This window comes from Homo sapiens, chromosome 10 (assembly GCF_000001405.40).
Source record: "Homo sapiens chromosome 10, GRCh38.p14 Primary Assembly".
Lineage (NCBI taxonomy): Eukaryota > Metazoa > Chordata > Mammalia > Primates > Hominidae > Homo > Homo sapiens.
This window is the reverse complement of record NC_000010.11, coordinates 49,956,188-49,979,412: the sequence shown is the minus strand read 5'-3', so window position 1 is coordinate 49,979,412 and position 23,225 is coordinate 49,956,188. Positions and strand designations below refer to the sequence as shown.

At 42.9% G+C, this 23,225-nt stretch overlaps 1 protein-coding gene and 1 long non-coding RNA gene across 13 annotated transcripts in view; both read right to left on the bottom strand.

The window, feature by feature from the left end:
* TIMM23B-AGAP6 (TIMM23B-AGAP6 readthrough (NMD candidate)) overlaps positions 1-23,225 on the bottom strand; it is a 68,464-nt gene that overhangs the window by 31,104 nt on the left and 14,135 nt on the right. For 5 of the 7 annotated variants that reach the window (NR_158660.1, NR_158657.1, NR_158656.1 and 2 more), the window contains 2 exons: positions 20,933-21,043; positions 6,271-6,401 (listed from right to left, as the gene is read on the bottom strand). This is a non-coding gene — a long non-coding RNA (TIMM23B-AGAP6 readthrough (NMD candidate)). Of the gene's footprint in view, positions 1-6,270; positions 6,402-8,954; positions 9,305-20,932; positions 21,044-23,225 lie in introns of all 7 variants that reach the window. The other 2 variants (NR_158661.1, NR_158659.1) reach the window with 1 other exon arrangement.
* Positions 4,563-23,225, bottom strand: part of TIMM23B (translocase of inner mitochondrial membrane 23 homolog B) — a 32,798-nt gene continuing 14,135 nt past the window's right edge. For 4 of the 6 annotated variants that reach the window (NR_110767.2, NM_001290117.2, NM_001290118.2 and 1 more), the window contains 2 exons: positions 20,933-21,043; positions 4,563-6,401 (listed from right to left, as the gene is read on the bottom strand). Coding sequence is in view for 3 of the 6 variants with exons in the window: in NM_001290117.2 (NP_001277046.1) it covers positions 6,349-6,401; positions 20,933-21,043 (164 nt within the window). In the remaining 3 variants the exon portion in view is untranslated. Of the gene's footprint in view, positions 6,402-8,954; positions 9,372-20,932; positions 21,044-23,225 lie in introns of all 6 variants that reach the window. The other 2 variants (NR_158651.1, NR_158652.1) reach the window with 2 other exon arrangements.

Sequence of the window (23,225 nt, the reverse complement as noted above, 5' to 3'; positions counted from 1 at the left end):
AATTCAACATCAAGAAATGATCTCTTCTACTCAACACTGATAGAAATACCTCTAAGCAACGTCCTCATTGGCAGGGGTGGAGTGGGGGAGTTTCTTAAAAAGTGAGGCCTCTGCCTACCACCTAGAGAACCTGGAAATTTCCATCTGTGCCACCAAGTCCAAATCACTGGCCACTGCCCCAGTGTATGGCAGATTAGAATATCTCTCCATTGGATCTGGGTTTCTATTCCATTGAGTGAAATGCCTTTTCTACTACAGGAACAGAATAAGGGATCAAAAGGGTCTTACAACTGAACTCCAGTGTACAGTCTGCACAGACACTAGGCTTGTGCAAATATGACACAGCGAGGCCCCAGGACCCTTAAGCCAGCTGAATGTACTGAGTTTCAGGAAACAGTGAGATACATTCAGCAAAACAGTGGGCTTCATGCTGAAAGAAGTCAATCCAAGTAAACACACATCACACACACACACACACACACACACACACACACACGCACGCAGACACCCTAGTGGCCAATAGGTCCTCTCACCAAAAACCTGTGATCAGGAGAGCAGAAAGCCTCCCAGGGCTCCACCACTGCCCTTTCTGTAGCCCCTTATCAGACGGCCAGCCTCAGGACAGCACTGTCTGATCCTGGTCCAGCCCAAACCGCCATCACCCTGTGATGTGGGAGCAGGCCACTTCACCAGAACCTCTGTGGCAGAAAAATTTCTCTTTCTTTTAAAATGATGAGGGGGAACCTTCAGACAGTGTCCTGATTAGGGTGGGTGGAGAGGGGGGTTTCCCAGAAAGTCAGGCAGGGCAGGGCAGAAGCCCTCTGGGTTAACTGTGTGCTTTTGATATGAAGGCAGGTAAGACTGGACAGGTGGGGGTGTTAGTGAGGGGATGGACTAGGGTGTGCTGAAGAACTCCACTTGGGCTCTGCACACCAGGGAAAATGACCACAAAACATCCCATCTTCACTGCTCAGAGAAGGCTAGATCTGCTGTGAGCTAGGAAGCCATGTGGGGGCAGCTGATGAGTCATCAAATGGGAGAAATCTGAGAGCCATGTGTTCCACAGGCCTCTGGTCCTTGTTCAGGCAGCAGGGCACTGTGAGATGTGGCTCCTTGGCCCTTTCCAGCCACCACCTTGATTGCCTGCTACAAGGAAAGAGACTGAAGCCCAAGAATGGGGTCTTGCTCACCATAGGATGATGGCTCAGTGTGCAGAGCTGAGCTATGGCCCAAGAGGCAGAAGGTGGGGATGACCCAGGCTGAGCTGGGGGATCCAACTGAACATGCACTTGCTAAGAAGCTGTGGGCTATGATGCCTTGGGACCCCAGTCTGGGTCTAGAATTGTAGCAAAACAGGCTACTGGTAAAAGTTCTTGGGAAGCCAACTCACTTTTGCTTTCATCCGTGGGCAAACAAACCTCTGATCAACCACACCACAATGGTGTCACTCTGTAAGGCACAGGTAGACAAGGCATCCAGCCTTGCACACTCCAGGGCCCACACATGTCCAGAATACAATGGTTCTTGTTGAGACTCCACTCTTCCAACTCAGACAGAAGCTCCCCAATGTCCTCAGCCACTCCCAACAACTGGAGGTCTGAAAACTTTCATGCATGCCGCTATGGTCTAAACCACTCGTGGTGGTTTTGATTTTCATTTTCCTGATAATCAGTGATGCTAAGCACCTTTCCATATGCCTTTTCACCAACTGGATATCTTCTTTGGCTAAATGTCTATTGAAATCCATTGCCCATTTACAAATCTGCTTTTTTGTGGGCTTCTTGATGTTTTTTTTTTTTCCTATTTATTTATACAAGTTCCTTAGATATTTTGGATATTTTTAAAAATGATTTTCAATTCCATTGCCCAGTTATAAATCTTTTTTTTTTTTTTTTTTTTTGAGACAGAGTTTTGCTGTTGTTGTCCAGGCTAGAGTGCAATGGTGCAATCTTGGTTCACAGCAACCTCCACCTCCCAAAGTCAAGCAATTCTCCTGCCTCAGCCTCCTGAGTAGCTGGGATTACAGGCATGTGCCACCATGCCCGGCTAATTTTTGCATTTTTAGTAGAGGCAGGGTTTCTCCATGTTGGTCAGGCTGGTCTTGAACTCCCGGTCTCAGGTGATCTGTCCACCTTGGCCTCCCAAAGTGCTGGGATTACAGGCATGAGCCACTTGCCCAGCCAATTATCCCTTTTTGTGGTTTTTTTTTTGGGGGGGTAGGGGGGAAGAACAGAGTCTCGCTCTGTCACCCAGTCTAGAGTGCACTGGTGTGATCTCGGCTCACTGCAGCCTCCGCCTCCCAGATTCCAGCAATTCTCCTGACTCAGTTTCCCGGGTAGCTAAGATTACGGGCGCGCAACACATGCCCAGCTAATTTTTGTATTTTTAGTAGAGACGGGGTTTCACCATGTTGGCCAGGCTGGTCTCAAACTCCTGACCTCAGGTGATCCACCCACCTCCCAAAGTGTTGGGATTACAGGCGGGAGCCACCACTCCCGGCCCCATTTTGTGTTTTAACATCAGTCGACACTCGTATTTTAAAATAATAACAATGAATGGCGGTACCTTAGAACAAGGGAATTATACATCTTTCTCTTGTCCTAGTGCAGACATTTTGTCTATAAAATGTTATTCACAGATGAATTCATGAAAACATTACTGTGAATTTTAAATCCATATACAAGTGTATGCTTGTTCATGAATACTTCAATAAAATAAAACTAATAGCAAAAAAGAATTCCAGAGTTGAAGCAGTTTCAGGAAAAAGGAGTTGGTTGGCAGTATGAAGTAAAATAGCAAAAAATGGGTTTTTTTTAAATGGGTATATTTGTGTCTACAACTTTTTTTTAATTATAGCATTAGACAATGTGTATATATATATGCATATATAAAGCAATGAAAGTGGCATTGTTTTCATACTAGTCTAGGATATTAAAATATATGTAATATGTGATTGGCAAAATAATGGCCCCCCAAAGATGTCCACAGATTCCTAGAACCTTACATGAAAACGGTACATCATGCATGTGATTCAGGTAAAGACCTTGACATGAGGAGACTACCCTGGTGCTATGGAGTGAACGTTGTGTTCCATCAATGTTCATGTGTTAAAATCCTAACCCTCAAGGTGATGGTATTAGGAGGTTAAGCCTTACGGGAGACTCTGCCCTCATGACTGGGATTAGCACCTTATTAAAGGCACAAGGGAGCTTGTTTGTTCCTCTCACCATGCGAAGACACAGCAAGAAGGAAGCCTCTATGAGAAAGCAGGCCTTCACCAGACACCAAGACTGCCGGCACCTTGATCTTGCACTTCTCAGCCTCCAGGACTGTGAGAAACAAAGTTCTGTTATTTATAAGCTACCTGGTCTAATGCATTTCCTTGTAGCAGCCTGTATGGATTAGGACAGTGGGCTCATGTGGATGATGACGGTGTCTCCATTCAGGACTAAGTAAGCACATGAGTCCTTAACAGTGGAAGAGAAGGGGGAAGGAAAGAGCCACAGAGACATGTGGCCACAGAAGAAGAGTCCATGGGATGCAAGGTTGCTAATGGTGAGAGTGGAGAAGAGCCCAAAGCCAAAAAATGCAGGCAGACTCCAGAATGTGGAAAAGGCGAGAAAAAAGATCCCCTAGAGCCTCTAGAGATGAAGGTAGCCTTTCCACCACCTAGATTTTAGCCCAGTGAGATCCACATCATACTCTGACATACAGGAGTGTAATAAATTTGTTTTATGCCCTGACATAGTGGTAGTTTGTTGTAGCAGCAATGGACTAGTAATATATAAATATATATACACACACACACACACAAACACTACCCCCCCCCACACACACACACACATAACTATATATATCCTACCCTTCAAAATTGAAGCAGATAAACTACACATTAGCATTAACTTAGCTGGGTGTAGTGGATCATGCCTGTAGTCCCAGCTACTCAGGAGGCTGAGAGGGAGGATCATGTGAGCCCAGGAGTTTAAGATCAGCCTGGGCAAACACACTGAGGCCACATTTCAAAAACAAACAAACAAACAAAACACAACAAATCTTTGATTAAGCTCATTTCCCAAATTTGAAGAGGAGACAATTATTAGATAAAGAGGAGAAAAGAGAAAGGTAGAGCTGCTGACTTCTGTGGTGGAAGCAGAGGCACAGGCCCAAACATACTCCTTTCCTCCTGGCTTTCCTGTCCCTTCTCATAAGGGACACATGAACCTCTCAAACTGAACCATGGATCACAGACCCATACTCAGAACTCAATACAGTTTTGTTCTATGATTTTTTACATGTCTGTGTCCTTGCTTCTGCCTCCCATTCCCAACTCCCTTGCTCTAGTTAGAAAAAATGGCTATTACCAAATATGAGTACATCCTCATATACTAATGCCAACTGATCATCACCTGGTTTTCTTCTTTTACAAAGTCATAAATCTTTAGACTTTAACACATCTTCCAAGCAATAGAATGTTATTTTCCAGTCCATTAACACAAATTCTATATTTAAAATGAAGACTTCACAAGTTGATTTAAATAACATATTAACCAACATAGACTGGCCATGGTTCAAACTGACATTTTAATTAAATGTGATGATAGGTTGAGTAACCTAGCAGTACTCTAAAATGACTTTTGGTTATGGCTTTTTCCATATTATGTTTAGGCTGAGGCATCCCTAAATGATTCAACTGTAATTCCTCTTCTTAAACATGAGATTTATCTTTACAAAATAATTTATTTTCTTAAAATTACAAGTTAATTCTATAGTTCATGCATACATAATCTCAGCAGATATCAGCTGTATGTGTACACACATACATATAGGTATTTGTATATACACACATTACATAATTTTTTAAAAAACTTATTAGTAGGGTAGAACCACGAAGACAAAGAGGCTTTGTGTAATGTGATGGAAACACATTTGCAGGACGAACAACAGGCTGCTGTGAGGGCTGCATTTACCCTTTCTACTGTAAGACTTGGAAAAACATGGATAGTGGATATTTAATCCGCATAACAGAAATTTCAGGGTGCAGAAAACTTCCCACAATTTTTACAGATAATGTCAACAGACAGGCATTCAATGCAGGGAATACACAGTGTGACAGTATACAAAAATAAGCAGGTTGATGGTTTAGATTTATGAGACAAGAGAAAGAAATAGATGATGCCATAATTCTCCTTTTATGGAGTTATGAAAATTGTTCATTTTATATAAGGTCAGGTGCTTTCAAATGTCAATGAGAAAAATATTTAAAGGAAGAATCAAATCTAAGACGTGGAGAGATCTTTATAAAAATGACCTTCAGGCCAGGCACGGTGGCTCACACCTGTAATCCCAACACTTTGGGAGGCCAAGGTGGGTGGATCACAAGGTCGGGGGATCGAGACCATCCTGGCCAACATGGTAAAACCCCGTCTCTACTAAAACACAAAAAATTAGCCGGGAGTGGTGGTGTGTGCCTGTAGTCCCAGCTACTTGGGAGGCTGAGGCAGGAGAACTGCTTGAAGCCGGGAGGCAGAGGTTGCAGTGAGCTGAGAGCACCACTGCACTCCAGCCTGGCAACAGAGCAAGACTCCATCTCAAAAAAAAAGAAAAAAAAAAAATTACCTTCATTCTGAGAAGGTATAATCATCAACACATTCTTGAGCACAACTATGCACATACACACTTCCAAATTCACAAACCATGCTTGTGCACACACTGATGTCTCTAGATTCCTTTTTTGAAGAGATGGCAACTTGGTGTGTCACCCAGGCTGGAGAGCAGTGTTAGGATCATAGCTCACTGCAGCCTCAAACTACTGGGGTCACGTGATCCTCCTACATCAGGCTCCTCAGTAGCCTGAACTATAGGAATGAGCCACCATGCCCAGCCAATGTTTTCATTTTTTTGTAGAGATGAAATCTTGCTATATTGCCCAGGCTGGTCTTGAACTCCTAGCCCCAAGGAATCCTCCTGCCTTGCCCTCCAAACGTGCTGAGATTACAGGTGTGAACCATTGTGCCCAGCAACTGGATTCTTTATTAAGAAGAAAATTTGTTTGCTGACATGTAGGCAATGAATTGATAAATAATAGTTCAGAAATTACTAATTTACAAGTCAATATAAATGAGGTGAGTAAACACAAAAATAACAGCATAAATAAACAGTTCATGACTTCACGTTTCTTTTTCTCCTTTAAAATGTAGCTCTGACAGAGACTACTACTTGTCCATTCCATGGAAAAGTCAGAGGTGGTTAAAATGTCAGAGGTACACTTACTAATACTTTGCTGCCTTTTGTGTAGCTTCTTCTCAGTACTTCACCAGTTGGGATTGACACACACCTCTACAGCTGGGTTCAGGAGCCAGACAGCAGCACACAGAACGGGGAATCCAAAGCCATCTCTGACACTAAAAGCAATGAAAACAAAAATAACCAAACATATTATCAAGAAATGAACAAGAGATTGATATCAAGTAAAGCAAGAAGAGAAGAAAGCATTTAATCTGCCAGGCTTTCATTCTGACAAAATAATTTACAACATGCATGTCTCTATCTGACATGAGTGAATAGAAAAAGAACCCAAATACCCAGTTGAATTGCAAGATGAAAATGAAAAAGAACTCTTGCTTATTCGCCAGGGTACAATCTAATCTGGGCTACTAAAACACTTTCATGCACTGATTCTATGTAACACATGCTTTATTGCCATTTGGAAATGGGATTTCTTGCTTTGATTTAAATATACTTCCTTGGATTTGTGCTTTAAGTATACTTTCTTAAACATATTCACAGCTACATTCTCAGTACAAATTTTCAGGTGTAAGTAACTACTTCTGCTTTTGATAGTATAATTGGTGAAATAAGCTATACTTCCATGTAAATGTGAGAGTACAAGGTAAGATTCCAGAGTCAAGTAAAACATAACAGTCAAGAAAATAAAAAGGTGAGAGTAACTGGGCAGTGGGGAAATCTTGTGTGTGGAAAGAATGAATCTGTAAAACTGTTCTTTCCTAAGAGAGTTCAGCAGGATTTGGATGATAGAGAGCTTTGTGTACAAGGGTTCCAGTTCCACATAGTTTAGGTCTAATTTCAAAGGCAACTTCTAGTGCAACCTGTGACTCACGCTGTCCTAAAGTGCCGAATGTAAAGGGTCTGGAGATAACCCACAAGCAGCACTGTGAACCCCTGACAGCAAGCCTTTCCAGATAAATACCTGTCAGTGTCTACAGCTGATGACAGAGCAGAATATCTGAAAAATAATACTTCTTCGGCCAGTGGACTGCCAGTCACTATTATTTAGTGTAAAATACTATATTACATATGTGTAATTTTTTAAATTGCAGTGTTTCACATCGAAGCAATTAAATATAAAAACCAAATGTTTATTCAGCTTAAAGGCAACTTAGAAATACTGATCCCAGATAGAAAGATGCTTTAGTCCCAAGTCAGCTGTTCTAAAATGCCACAACTAAACCAACGAAGGGATCTTGAAGCATAGTAAGTGTTCATACCTTTTCAGCTATACCTCTGCTTGTCTTGAATATAAAAACCTAAGCTGCAGTTATGCCACAGCACAGAATGTGTTATATTTTACATCACTGAGCCTTAGTTTTACAAATGGTAAAAAATAGGGAAGGTAAACTGAGGTTTTCTTAAGGAGCTGTTACATCCAAGAGACTCATGAAAATCTTTGCCAAATGTCCCCGGTACATAGCTCCTCCCCACTGATGGGCTCAACGGGGAGAAGCTATGCACATGTCTCAATTTGCATATGCTCAATGGCAATACAGGATTCCTAGGATAAAGTAAGGGATATAAATGACACAGCACACTGAAAAGACTGTAATGTTACTTCAGAATGTTGCAAAATAAAGATCACAGATGAAAGTTTTAGTTCACTGAAGCATGTAGTCATGTATATTTCATTTGTGTGTTTTAAAGTCTTATACTGCTTACATTCTCTTTTTTTGTTTGTTTTAAAATAATTATATTTGGCTACAAAGATCAATAACAAGGATGATGTCAGTCCAGGTTGGACAGGCAGTTCTGGGGCAGATGTTCTTGCAGTATTTTTTTTTTTTTTTTTTAGTATTTATTGATCATTCTTGGGTGTTTCTCGGAGAAGGGGATTTGGCAGGGTCATAGGACAATAGTGGAGGGAAGGTCAGCAGATAAACATGTGAACAAGGGTCTCTGGTTTTCCTAGGCAGAGGACCCTGCGGCCTTCCGCAGTTTTTGTGTCCCTGGGTACTTGAGATTAGGGAGCGGTGATGACTCTCAAGGAGCATGCTGCCTTCAAGCATCTGTTTAACAAAGCACATCTTGCACCGCTCTTAATCCATTTAACCCTGAGTGGACACAGCACATGTTTCAGAGAGCACCGGGTTGGGGGTAAGGTCATAGATCAACAGCATCCCAAGGCAGAAGAATTTTTCTTAGTACAGAACGAAATGGAGTCTCCTATGTCTACTTCCCTCCACACAGACACAGCAACAATCCGATTTCTCTATCTTTTCCCCACATTTCCCCCTTTTCTATTCAACAAAACCGCCATCGTCATCATGGCCCATTCTCAATGAGCTGTTGGGTACACCTCCCAGATGGGGTGGCGGCCGGGCAGAGGGGCTCCTCACTTCCCAGAAGGGGTGGCCGGGCAGAGGCGCCCCCCACCTCCCAGACGGGGCGGCAGCCGGGCAGAGGCGCCCCCCACCTCCCTCCCGGATGGGGTGGCTGGCGGGGCAGGGGCTGCCCCCCACCTCCCTCCCGGACGGGGCAGCTGGCCGGGCGGGGGCTGCCCCCCCACCTCCCGGACGGGGCGGCTGCCGGGCGGAGGGGCTCCTCACTTCTCAGAAGGGGCAGCTGCTGGGCGGCGGGGCTCCTCACTTCTCAGACAGGGCAGCTGCCAGGCGGAGGGGCTCCTCACTTCTCAGACAGGGCGGCTGGGCAGAGACGCTCCTCACCTCCCAGACGGGGTCGCGGCCAGGCAGAGGCGCTCCTCACATCCCAGACGGGGCGGCGGGGCAGAGGCGCTCCCCTCATCTCAGACGATGGGTGGCCGGGCCGAGACGCTCCTCACTTCCTAGACGGGATGGCAGCCGGGAAAAGGCGCTCCTCACTTCCCAGACTGGGCAGCCCGGGCAGAGGGGCTCCTCACATCCCAGACGATGGGCGGCCAGGCAGAGACGCTCCTCACTTCCCAGACGGGGTGGCAGCCGGGCAGAGGCTGCAATCTCGGCACTTTGGGAGGCCAAGGCAGGCGGCTGGGAGGTGGAGGTTGTAGCTAGCCGAGATCACGCCACTGCACTCCAGCCTGGGCAACATTGAGCACTGAGTGAACGAGACTCCATCTGCAATCCCGGCACCTCGGGAGGCCGAGGCTGGCAGATCACTCGCGGTTAGGAGCTGGAGACCAGCCCGGCCAACATGGCGAAACCCCGTCTCCACCAAAAAAAATACAAAAACCAGTCAGGCGTGGCGGCGTGCACCTGCAATCGCAGGCACTCAGCAGGCTGAGGCAGGAGAATCAGGCAGGGAGGGTGCAGTGAGCCGAGATGGCAGCAGTACAGTCCAGCTTCGGCTCGGCATCAGAGGGAGACCATGGAAAGAGAGGGAGAGGGAGACCGTGGGGAGAGGGAGAGGGAGACCGTGGGGAGAGGGAGAGTGAGAGGGAGAGCCAGAATTTTCTTTTTAAAGGCAGAATAATATTCTATGTATATACCACATTTTTCTTTTTTTGAGACAGGGTCACCTAGGCTGGAGTGCAGTGGCATGATCACGGCTCACTGCAGCCTTGACCTCCCCAAGCTCAAGTGATCTTCCCACCTCAGCCTCGGGAGTAGCATGTACCACCATGCTTAGCTCATTTTTTGTATTTTTAGTAGCTATGTTGTCCAGGCTAGTCTCCAACTCCTGGGCTCAAGCAATCTGTCCATTTGCCTGCCTTGGCCTCTTAGAATCTATCTTTTTTTTTTTTTTTTTTTTTGACACAGGGTCTCACTCTGTCGCCCAGGCTAGAGTGCAGTGGCACAATGAAGGCACACTGCAGCTTTGACCTCCTGGGCTCAGGTGATTCTCCCATCTCAGCCTTCCCAGTAAGTGGGACTACAGGTGCCCACCACCAAGACTGGCTAATTTTTTGTATAGACAGGGTTTCACCATATTGCCCTTACACTCCTGGACTCAATCTGCCCACATTGGCTTCCCAAAGTGCTGGGATTATAGACATGAGCTACCACACCCAGCCTGTATGGCTGTTGTGAATAATATGCTGTTATGAACACGGGCACACTAAACACCATTCAACTTAAAAAAATAATCAAAGCCTTAAGAACTGACCAAAATGGCTTAGGTGAAAATAAAATACCAAACTCTGCTCTAAGAAAAGGAAAGAACATTCACTGAATTATACCTTCAGCAATAAGCACGTAATGGAACTTGTTTCATTTAAAATGCATCACAATCCTGTAAATTGATAATCATCATACCGCAATTTTATAGATGAGCAAGGTATTAGGCGGACCTTTTTCAAAAGGTCATACAGCTAGTGACAAATATTTCCAAATTTTTCATAACATTTCTTTTTTTGAGACGGAGTCTTGCTCTGTGGCCCAGGCTGGAGTGCAGTGGTGCAATCTCGGCTCACTGCAAGCCTTGCCTCCCAGGTTCACGCCATTCTCCTGTCTCAGCCTCCCTAGTAGCTGGGACTACAGGCACCCACCACCATGCCCGGATAATGTTTTTGTATTTTCAGTAGAGACGGGGTTTCACTGTGTTAGCCAGGATGGTCTCAATCTCCTGACCTTGTGATCCTCCCGCCTTGGACTCCCAAAGTGCTGGGATTACAGACATGAGCCACTGTGCCAGGCCTAACATTTCTGTTTTAAATAGCTTAATTAACTACACATGTTTTATATTCTTGCCTCTGAAAGGCAGCTTTTTTTGTTGGGTTGGTTTATTATGCATCAGACACTTGATTCGCTGAGGAATTCTGTTTTTCAGTAATTCATCCACCACAAATATCACGTAGCATTTTGACTCCACAGACCTAAGAGTCTTAAGTCTTAAAAGGATTGTAAAATCTAAGTTTTTCTGAGCTATCTGAGAGTAAGAGGCTTTTTTCTATTGAAAATAGGTTGCATTTCAAACTTTATCCGTAAGAGCTCACAACACTTTCTCCAACATGCATGCCCATGTGCTCACTTAAACAGAACTCTGAGTGAGACAGTAAATACCTCATATGCCCTTGAAAATTTTACCTTGGCATAGAAAAACCTTGTTAAGAACCTAAAAATAATTTCACTTTGAAAGTCTTTAGGGTTAGACAAATGTTAAACTTCAATTGGCAGTACAAGGGCAGCACTCAAGCCAGTAAGAGTTTTGTTGGGCCAAATTATGTTGAAAAAGATCAAATATTTTAAAAACAGGAGATTTCACATAAAAATCTGGGATTCCAGCTTCTTCTGAATAAATGAGGTACACTAATTATGCAGAGTGGCAAATGGCTGGAGTTGAGTGGGAGGTGTTTCTAGCCCAACAGATAGGCATGGAAGCTCCAGCTCAGCCCCCTCCACTCCATTTTCTTACACAAGGGAAGCCACTATGGTATAGCATCTAACTTAAGGCATATTATATGTATTCTTAAGACAGAGGAAAAGGCTGAATATTTGATATTGTCAAAAGAAATGAGAGTCTAACTTTCTGTGGCAAGGACCTTCTTGCAGTAGTAACATAGTCTGGAACACCTCCAACATAAATTATGAAAAGAAAGCTCTTGGCTCAGAAGAGAAAAAGCAAAAAAGAATACTCATTAATTCTATGTCACAGGACAAATAGATTTCAATTTCCATTGCAATTGTAGAAGAGGTAAATAATCTGCTGACCCAGAATTCCAACAGGGACTCACACTTCCTGTCTTAATAACTCGAAACACTGAAATCACTCTAACAAAGGCAAATCAATGTCTTATTAATTTCTGGTTAAAAAATAGACCCAAGAAGACAGGGCACAGACATAAATTTTGTGTGGTGGGAATACAAATATAACTTCAACGTCCAGATTCATGGATTTGGAAATGACCTTAGGCACTCTAAGTATAGCACCACTGAAGTTTACATTTAGGGAATGGCTAATCCCTGCTGATCTAAACTATTTCCAATCCCCAATGTACTCTTTAAATACAGAAATTTAAAAAAAGAGGGGGCCGGGCGCGGTGGTTCACACCTGTAATCCCAATACTTGGGAGGCCAAGGCAGGGTGGATCGCTTGAGCTCAGGAGTTTGAGACTAGCCTGGGCACCATGGTGAAACCCTGTCTCTACAAAAAACACAAAAAAATTAGCCAGGCATGGTGGCATGTGCCTGTAGTCCTAGCATCTTGGGAGGTTGAGATGGGAGCATCACTTGAACCCAGGAAGCAGAGGTGGCAGTGAGCCATGATCACACCACTGTACTCTAGTCTGAGACCCTGTCAAAAAAAAAGGAAGGGCTCAACATAGTAAGTACAGAGCTATTTTAATAGAAAGATCATGAGGGAAAAACTAGCAGCTGTCAGATAGAGAGTAATTTATTTTATTCATTTATTTATTTTTATTTTTTTGAGACAGAGTTTCGCTCAGCTGCCCAGGCTGGAGTGCAGTGGCGCGATCTTGCCTCATGGCAACCACCATCTCCTGGGTTCAAGCGATTCTCCTCTCTCTGCCTCCCAAGTAGCTGGGATTACAGGCACCCGCTATCATGCCCGGCTAGTTTTTTTATTTTAGTAGAGATGGGGTTTCATCATGTTGGCCAGGCTGGTCTTGAACTCCTGACCTCAGGTGATCCACCTGCCTCGGCCTCCCAAAGTGCTAGGATTACAGGTGTGAGCCACCACACCCAGCATTTCATATTTCATTTCTTTCATTTCAAGATGGAAACTCACTCTATCACCCAGGCTGGAGTACGCCACTGCACCTGACATTTCATTATTCATTTCATTTCATTATTTCATTTCTTCATTTCATTGCACCCAGCATTTCATTATTCATTTCATTATTTCATTTCTTCATTTCGTTTCATTTCATTTCGAGATGGAAACTCGCTCAATCGCCCAGGCTGGAGTGCACCACCACACCCGGCATTTCATTATTCATTTACTTCATTTCATTTCGAGACAGAGACTTGCTCTGTTGCCCAAAGCTGGAGTGCGCCACCGCACCTGGCATTTCATTATTCATTTCATCATTTCATTTTATTTCATTTAGAGATGAAGACTCACTCTACCGCGCAAGCTGGAGTGCACCACCACACCCAGCATTTCATTATTCATTTCATTATTTCATTTCATCATGTCATGTCATGTCATGTCATGTCATGTCATTTCATTTCGAGACAGAGACTCGCTCTATCACCCAGGCTGGAGTGCGCCACTGCATCTGGCATTTCATTATTCATTTATTTCATTTCATTTCACCCAGCATTTCATTATTCATTTCATCATTTCATTTCATTTCGTTTCATTTCCAGATGAAGACTTGCTCTATTGCCCAGGCTGGAGTGCGCCACCGCACCCAGCATTTCATTATTCCATTTTATCATTTAGTTTCATTTATTTCATTTCATATTTCATCTCATTTCATTTCATTTCGATGGAGACTCGCTCCATTACCCAGGCTGGAGTGTGCCACCACACCCAGCATTTCATTATTCATTTCATTTCACCCGGCATTTCGTATTTCATTTCATCATTTCATTTCTCACTTCATTTCATTTCATTTGTTTCATTTCATTTCGAGACAGAGACTCGCTCTATCGCCCAGTCTGGAGTGCGCCACCACACCCAGCATTTCATTATTCATTTCATTTCACCTGGCATTTCGTATTTCATCATTTCATTTCTCATTTCATTTCATTTCATTTGTTTCATTTCATTTCGAGACAGAGACTCGCTCTATCGCCCAGTCTGGAGTGCACCACCACACCCGGCATTTCATTATTATTTCATTTTTTCATTTCATCTATTTCATTTCATTTTTCAATTTCATGACGTAGACTCGCTCTATCACCCAGGCTGGAGTGCACCCAGCATTTCATTATTCATTTCATATTTCATTTCCCATTTCATTTCATGACAGAGACTCACTCTATCACCCAGGCTGGAGTGCGCCACCCACATTTCATTATTAATTTCATTATTTCATTTCATCATGTCATGTCATTTCATTCTGAGATGGAGACTCGTTCTATTGCCCAGGCTGGAGTGCAGTGGTGTGATCTCTGCTCACCGCAACCTCTACCTCCTGGGTACAAGCGATTCTCCTCTCTCAGCCTCCCGAGTAGCTGGGATTACAGGCACCTGCCATCATGCCCGGCTAATTTTTGTATTTTAGTAGAGACAGGGTTTCACCATGTTGGCCAGGCTGATCTTGAACTCCTGACCTCAAGTGATCCGCCCACCTAGGCCTCCCAAAGTGCTAGGATTACAAGCGTGAGCCACTGCACCCAGTATTTCATGTTCCATTTCATATTTATTTCATCATTTCATCTCCTTCATTTCATTTCAAAACGGAGTCTCACTCTATCACCCAGGCTGGAGTGCATCACCACAGCCAGCATTTCATTATTCATTTCATTTCATTATTTCTTCATTTCATTTCATTTCACCCGGCATTTCATTATTCATTATTTCATTTCTTCATTTCATTTCATCCCATTTGAGACAGAGACTCGCTCTATCACCCAGGCTGGAGTGTGCCACTGCACCTGGCATTTCATTATTCATTTCATTATTTCATTTCATCATTTCATTTATTTCATTTTTTCATTTCATTTCATTTCACCCGGCATTTCATTATTCATTTCATTATTTCATTTCATCATTTCATTTCATTTCATTTCGAGACGGAGACTCCCTCTATTGCCCAGGCTGGAGTGCGCCACTGCACCCAGAATTTCATTATTCATTTCATTATTTCATTTCATCATTTCATTTGATCATTTCATTTCATTTCAAGACAGAGACTCGCTCTATCACCCAGGCTGGACTGCGCCACCACACCTGGCATTTCATTATTCATTTCACCCAGCATTTCATATTTCATCTCATCATTTCTCATTTCATTTATTTCATTTCATTTCAAGACGGAGACGCGCTCTATTGCCCAGGCTGGAGTGTGCCACCACACCTGGCATTTCATTTTATTATTTCATTTCAGTATTCATTTATTTCATTTCTTCATTTCATTTCATTTCATTTCACTTCAAGATGGAGACTCGCTCTATCACCCAGGCTGGAGTGCGCCACCACACCTGGCATTTCATATTTCTTCATTTCATTTATTCCATTCCCATATTCCCATTCCCATTCAATTTCAATCCATTTCATGACAGAGACTTGCTGCATTGCCCAGGCTGGAGTGCACCACACGCATTTCATTATTCATTTCATTATTTCATTTCATCATGTCATGTCATGTCATTTCGAGCCAGAGGCTTGTTCTAACACCCAGGCTGGAGTGCAGTGGCGCGATCCCTGCTCACTGCAACCTCTGCCTCCTGGGTTCAAGCGATTCTCCTCTCTCAGCCTCCCAAGTAGCTGGGATTACAGGCACCCGCTATCATGCCCGGCTAGTTTTTGTATTTTAGTAGAGATGGGGTTTCATCATGTTGGCCAGGCTGGTCTTGAACTCCTGACCTCAGGTGATCCACCCTCCTCAGCCTCCCAAAGTGCTAGGATTACAGGCGTGAGCCACCGCACCCAGTATTTCGTATTTCATTTCATATTTAATTTTGTTTCATTATTTCATCATTTCATTTCAAGACGGAGTCTCACTCTATCACCCAAGCTGGAGTGCATCACCGCACCCAGAATTTTATTATTCATTTCAATATTTCATTTATTTCTTCATTTCATTTCATTTCACCCGGCATTTCATTGTTCATTATTTCATTTCATCCCATTTCATCTCATGTCATCTCATTTCATTTCGAGACGGAGACCTGCTCTATTGCCCAGGTTGGAGTGCACCACTGCACCCGGCATTTCATTATTCATTTCATCATTTCATTTCATTTCACCTGGCAATTCATTATTCATTTTATTATTTCATTTCATTTATTTCATTTATTCTCTTCATTTCATTCCATTTCATTTCGAGACAGAGACTTGCTCTATTGCCCAGGCTGGAGTGTGCCACCACACCCGGCATTTCATTATTCATTTCATCATGTCATGTCATGTCACGTCATTTCATTCTGAGACAGACTCGCTCTATCGCCCAGGCTGGAATTCAGTGGCGCGATCTCTGCTCACTGCAACCTGAGGTCGGGAGTTCGAGATCAGCCTGACCAACATGGAGAAACCCCGTCTCTACTAAAAATACACAAAATTAGCCGGGCATCGTGGTGCATGCCTGTAATTCCAGCTACTGGGGAGGCTGAGGCAGGAGAATCGCTTGAACTCAGGAGGCAGAGGTTGCTGTGAGCCAAGATCATGCCATTGTACTCCAGTCTGGCCAACGAGAGTGAAACTCTGTCTCAAAAAAAAAAAAAAGTGATGGTAGATGCTCACACTGGCAAACGTTAGCAAGTACTAGAAGGGTCATTTGGCAGTAGTCATTCACGTTTTAAGCATGCAGATAATTTTCTCAAATAACTTAATTTTTAGCAATTTATCCTACAACTAAAATGTATGTGCAAAACTGTATGTACGACAGTGTTTAAGAGAAGGCCTCAAAGAAAAGGTGGTATCTGAACAAAGATGGACAGATGATGCAGCATTTCAGGTAGGTATCTGGAAGGATTGTTCTAGGAAATGGTAACAGCAAGAATAAAGGCCCTGAAGTGGGAGTTAAAAGACAATGGGAATAGGAGTAGAATCTGGAGTCATCAAAGTGGCAAGGGAGCAAATTACAGAGAAGATAGAGCCACTTTAAAGAATCTGGCTTGGCCCGGCGTGGTGGTTCACGCCTGTAATCCCAGCACTTTGGGAGGCTGAGGTGGGCGGATCATGAGGTCAGGGGATCGAGAACATCCTGGCCAACATGGTGAAACCCCGACTCTATTAAAAATACAAAAATTAGCTGGGCGTGGTGGCGGGCATCTGTAATCCCAGCTACTTGGGAAGCTGAGGCAGGAGAATCGCTTGAACCCAGGAGGTGGAGGTTGCAGTGAGCCAAGATTGTGCCACTGCACCGCAGCCTGGCGACAGAGCAAAACTCCGTTTAAAAAAAAAAAAAAAGCAAAAAAAAGCTTAATTGGATTTTGATTGCTACCTTCTAAGTATCAGCACTTTCATTTAATCATAAGCCTCAAAGTGTTTATAAAACTTCTAAAGAGTTAAGTTTCATAATTCTCCTAACGAGAGTCTACACATACTGAGATGTTAATGCAGGGTTTAGAAACTGTCAAAAACTTTCATAAGACCCTCAAAGAGATCTAGGACAATTCCTCCCACCCACAGAAAAGCAATCACCCAAACAACTGAGAATCAGTGGCAAAAAAACTCTCCTAAAAGGACACAGTACTATGGGGAGTCAAAAACAATTCAGACAGCTGGGCACAGTGGCTCATGCCTGTAATCCAGTAACTCAGGAGGCTGAGGTGGGAGGATTGCTTGAGGCCAGCCTGGGTAACATAGCAAGACCCCATTGCTAAACAAAAAAAGAAACAATGAAAAAAATTAGCTGGGTGTGGTGGCATGCACCTGTAGTCTGAACCACTGGGCAGGCTGAGGTGAGAGGATCCTTTGAGCCCAGGAGTTCAAGGCTGTAGTGAGCCATGATGGCACCACTGCACTTTAGCCTGGGTGACAGAGCAAGACCGCAACTCAAAAAAAAAAACAAGGGAAACATTTTAGTGACTTTAGTCTTGCCTGGAAGAGATAAGTAAGGGACAGATGGGGGCAGTGGTGAGGGAGCCCAGGACAGCTAGCTGCTATGCTATTCAAAGTCCCATATATTGCTTCCACAATATAACAAAACAGAGAAAGAAACCACCAAACAGCAAACCGTCTTCTAGTGATCCCATCATTATTTTTTTTCTTTTCTTTTTTTTTTTTTTTTTGAGACAGAGTTTCACTCTTATTGCCCAGGCTAGAGTGCAGTGGCGTGATCTTGCCTCACCGCAACCTCCACCTCCCAGGTTCAAGCAATTCTCCTGCCTCAGCCTCCCGAGTAGCTGGGATTTCAGGCATGTGCCACCACACCTGGCTAATTTTGTATTTTTAGTGGAGACCGGATTTCTCTATGTTGGTCAGGCTGGTCTCGAACTCCTGACCTCAGGGGATCCACCCGCCTCAGCCTCCCAAAAATGCTGGGATTACAGGCGTGAGCCACCGTGCCCAGCTGACCCAATCATCTTTCACTTCAACCTTTTCCTTACCATCTCTTCAACTAATACTTTTCCTGGACCATTTTGACTTTAGGCTTCTACCTCCAATCTATTTTATCTACCCACTACTTCTAACTTAATCTTCCTCAGAGATAATTCTAATACTCTGTCCAAAAACCTTTGATGACATGCTGCCTTTCTATGTAATTTTAAGCTTCTTACCTTAGCTTTCCATGCCATAAGCCTAAACTATCTTCCCAGACTTTTCTCCCACAACTTCCTTATATGTATCATATAATCAAACAGATACATCAGAAAATTCAGTCCATCCTTAAGGTCTGGCTCAACTGTTATTTATTACTTCTTTCCCTTTTCTAGAAATTTTCCTGATTTCTCTGTCCTGGAGGTAATTTGGTTTGGTGAGAAAGACAACGGGCTTTGGACTCAGACTAGAGTTTGATGCACTAGAACATGACAGAGCTGTGTGAGCATGTGGAGGTAATTTAACTTGTCTGAATTTTAGTTTCTTTGTCTATAAAACAAGGGAGTACCAGTCTACTACCTTCAGAGAATGGTAAATGAGCTAACCTATATAAAGGATGTGACCTCCTTTCTACTTTAAGCGTATTTTGTACAATTCTTAGCAGAGTTAACACAGCTTTCCTCTTGGAAGTCAACAGACAATATGTAAGACTGAAAAGTCAAGAAAAATCAAGATAATAATATTATTTAAAAACATGAAAATAAAAAATAATGAATTAAAGCAGCCTAGGCATGGTAGCTCACATCTGCAATCCTAGCACTTTGGGAGGCTGAGGCAGGATGACTGCTTGAGCCCAGGAGTTCAAGACCAGCCTGGGCAACATAGTGAGACCCCATCTCCGAAAAAGAAAAAAAAAAAAAAAATTAGCTGGGTGTGGAGGCGTGTGCCTGTAGTCCCAGCTACTCAGGAGGCTGAGATGGATCACCTGAGCCCAGGAGGTCAAGGCTACAGTGAGCCTTGATTGTGCCACTGCACTCCAGCCTGGATGACAGAGTGAGACTCTGTCTTAAAAAAAAAATTAAAATAAGCTGGGAGTGGTGGCTCACGCCTGTAATCCTAGCACTTGGGAGGCTGAGGAGGGTGGATCACCTGAGGTCAGGAGTTTGAGACCAGCCTGACCAATATGGTGAAACCCCGTCTCTACTAAAAATACAAGAATTAGCCAGATGTGGTGGTGTGTGCCTGCAGTCCCAGCTACTCAGGAGGCTGAGATGGGAGAACTGCTTGATCCCAGGAGGTGGAGGTTGCAGTGAGCCGAGATCATGCCACTGCACTCCAGCCTGGGTGACACCAAGACTCCATCTCAAAAAAGAAAGAAAAAAAAAAAAATTAAAAGTTGCCTTTGGGAAAAGGGAATTAAGGTGAGACGTATAGAACACTGTTGTGCATCATTAAAATCTTTTAGATGTTAAAAAGATAAAAACCTTGACTTAAAAAATCAAGTATGTGGATTAAACATCATTAAAATCTTTTAGACGTTAAGATAAAAACCTTGACTTAAAAAATCACGTATGTGGATTATTTTGATAAAAATAAAAATTAAGTAGCCAAAGATGTATCAACACAATAAAAAAGCTAAATTAGGCATTACTTGGATGTATGCTTCTAAACTAGTAAAACTTATCACAGAAGAGAATTATCTGACCCTTGACAGCAACATGTTTATCTCCCAGTAGCGTAAGATGATCATAGGAATAAGATGCTCTAAATTGACTTACAGGGAAGTCATTCCTGGGCTTCGACCTTGTGTGTGTCTTGTGATAGTTTAATATGCTGATGTCACAGGTCAAACTATTGTTTAAAACAAAACCAACAATTCTGAATATTCTATTGCTTAGTCTGTCCAAGATTAAAAAAACTAAACTAAAATGAATGAAAAATACAGAAAAGAATCTTATATTCTTAATGTCAAAAAACCACCATAAACCATATGATCCAAGAATCCCACTTCTGCACATATATCCAAAAAAAGAAAGAAGGACCTTGAAGAGATATTTGTACATCCATATTCGTAGCAGCATTATTCACAATAGCCAAAAGGTAGAAGCAACCCAAATATTCCTTGATAAAAGAATGCACATGCAAAATGTGGTACACATACACAGAATGAATATTATTTAGCTTTAAAAAGGAAGGGAATTCTGGCACACGCAACAATATGGATGAACCTTGAGGATATTATGCTACGTAAAATAAGCCAATCAAAAAAGGACAAATATTGTATGATTCTACTTATATGAGGTGCCTAAAGCAGCCAATTCAGAGACAGAAAGTGTAACATTATCAGGAGCTAAGGAAGTGGTAAATTGGAGGCTTAATAGGTACAGAGTATCAGTTTTGCAAGATGAAAAAGTTCCAGAGATTGGTTATATAATCATGTGACTATAATACTAATGTACTGTATACTTAAAAATGGTTAAGATGGGTAAATCTCATATTTTACCACAATTAAAAACCAAACCAAACCAAAATAACCATAAAGTTAGAACACTAGATTATACTGCAACAGAGTGTAATTTCCTTGAAAACCATGAATTTTAAAAAGCGCACTTCAAGTATATTAAGAGATGGCTCCCCATTCAACAGTACTCACCTGTACATTTATACAACATGCCTGTCATGGTTCCAGCTGCTACTGTGTTAAGGTCATCTTCTGCACCTCGTGTTTTCTCAATGATGACACCAAATGCACTATAGAGCAACGCTAAAGAGGAAATGGAAGTGCTCAGTGACAAAACAGTGATAAAGTGTGATATTATGATATACATATATTGGTTTTCATCCATGGTTCCTAGCTCATAACTCCCATAGCCCTTCCTAAGTGACTAAAACAATCACTTGTTAAGGTATTTGTCCTTGGTTCTGGAATCAGCTTTGGAACAGCTTCAGAGGGACAAAGGTGAAGGTCTTTTGTTGTATTACTGGGGCACTTCAGGCCTCAGAAGCAGCCTCAGAAACAGAATCTCTCTCTGTGACCTTCTCCTGCCCTCCTTTCACCTGCTCCCTTTTCTCCCCACAGCAGGACTCTAATCTTTCCCCACACCTTCCTGTCTTGGAACTGGCCATAAAGAAATTCTATGACCTACCTTGTCTGATTGCAGGCTGTAAGACCCCCATTTCAGAAGAGATCGTACCCCATACCCAGGAAGAAGAAATGTTGCACAGAAAGGCCAAGGAGAATCTGGGCAGGCAGGCCTTGCTGGATTTCTGTGCCCAGTCTATTAGTAGTAGAGCATGTCCTTTTTGTCCAATCACAGTTCTATAAGGTTGTCCATGCTTCAGTCATGCCTATCCAATCAATTTTCCACATGAGGCCCAAGTGGATGGGGTCGGAAGACTTTCTGGACAGCTCAACTCATGGGACTTGCAGGAAAGTGAGAAAGAACTCACCCACGTGTCAGGAGGCTAGTGCACCCCAACTCCAGTGAAATGAAAGCTCCTGCACTCAGGGCCCATCCAGGCCTCACCTTATGTATTCCTTGACTGGGCTATTTGTATCCTTTAAAAATATCCAGCCAGGTGTGGTGGCTCACAAAGTTTCTGTAATCCCAGCACTCTGGGAGGCCGAGGTGGGAAGATCACATAAGCCCAGGAGTCAGAGACCAGTCTGGGCAACAACATAGGGATACCCCCTTCTCCAAAAAAATTTTTAAAAAAATTAGTTGGCATGGTGGTGCATGTTGCCTATAGTCCCAGCTCCTTGAAAGGCTGAGGTGGGAGGCTTGCTTAAGCCCAGAAGTCTAGGTTGCAGTGAGCTCCACTGCACTCTAGCATGGGTGACAGAGCAAGACCTTGTCTCAAAAAAAAAAAAAAAAAAATCTTTATAATAAATACGCAAATGTTAAGTATGTGTTCCCTCGAGTTCTGTGAGCCAATCCAATAAATTAATCAAACCCAAAGAGGGGGTTGTGGGAAACCCTGACAAAGCTGGTTGGTCAGAAGCACAGGTAAAATAACCTGGAGCTTGCGATCAGCATCAGAAGTATCCAAAGTGGGGCTCAGTTTTGTGGGACAGAGTGCTCAACCTGCTGATCTAATGCTATCTCCAGGCAGAAGTGAAACAGGAGGACACCCAACTGCTGTCCACTGCAAAAGAGATTACTTGGTATGTGGGGAAATATTCCCACATAACTGGTCACAGAACTATCCTATGTTGACTGTTGTAGTGTGAGAGCAGAGGAAAAACTGTTTTTTTTTTTCAACACAAAAGTCAGTATGGCAATTATATTTAGAAAAATTTATCCAAAGATATACATGGAATGATCACTAGAACAGTTTCTAATAGCAAACACCTGGCAACAAATAAAATGCCCATCAAGAGCATTTGTACCATCTGAATTGATCCAGAGAGGGACTTTTCATATAATGGAATACTATACAGTCACTTAAAAACCAGAAGAATCATTTTCACTAATAAGTAAATCAGGGACATGTGCACATGATACACGACTGACTGGCTATGCAGAGAAACGCCTGGAAGAATTCAGAAGAAACATCAATAGCTATTTCTAGAAAGTACCGCTAGGAAGTCTCAGGAAGAATATTTAAAATTTTCATTTATATGCTACCCATAATTGCTGTACTTCGGATTGAAGACACACATACACACACACACACACACACACACACACACACACACACACACACGTATTTCTAGTATAAGAAAAAATAGATTAAAAAAAAAGTGAGGTTTGATTCTCACGTATTATAACACTAGCACCATTTCATTTTAAAGTATCTTCCCCCAAGCCATCTTTCTATGCTCTTGCAGATTCCTATCTGGAATGAACGTTAAACTTTTAAACTCTTTCTCAAAATTATAGCTACACTTGCCCCTTGCAACAATACACCGCGCTCAGCCTTACAACTCCTCTACTGCAGTATTT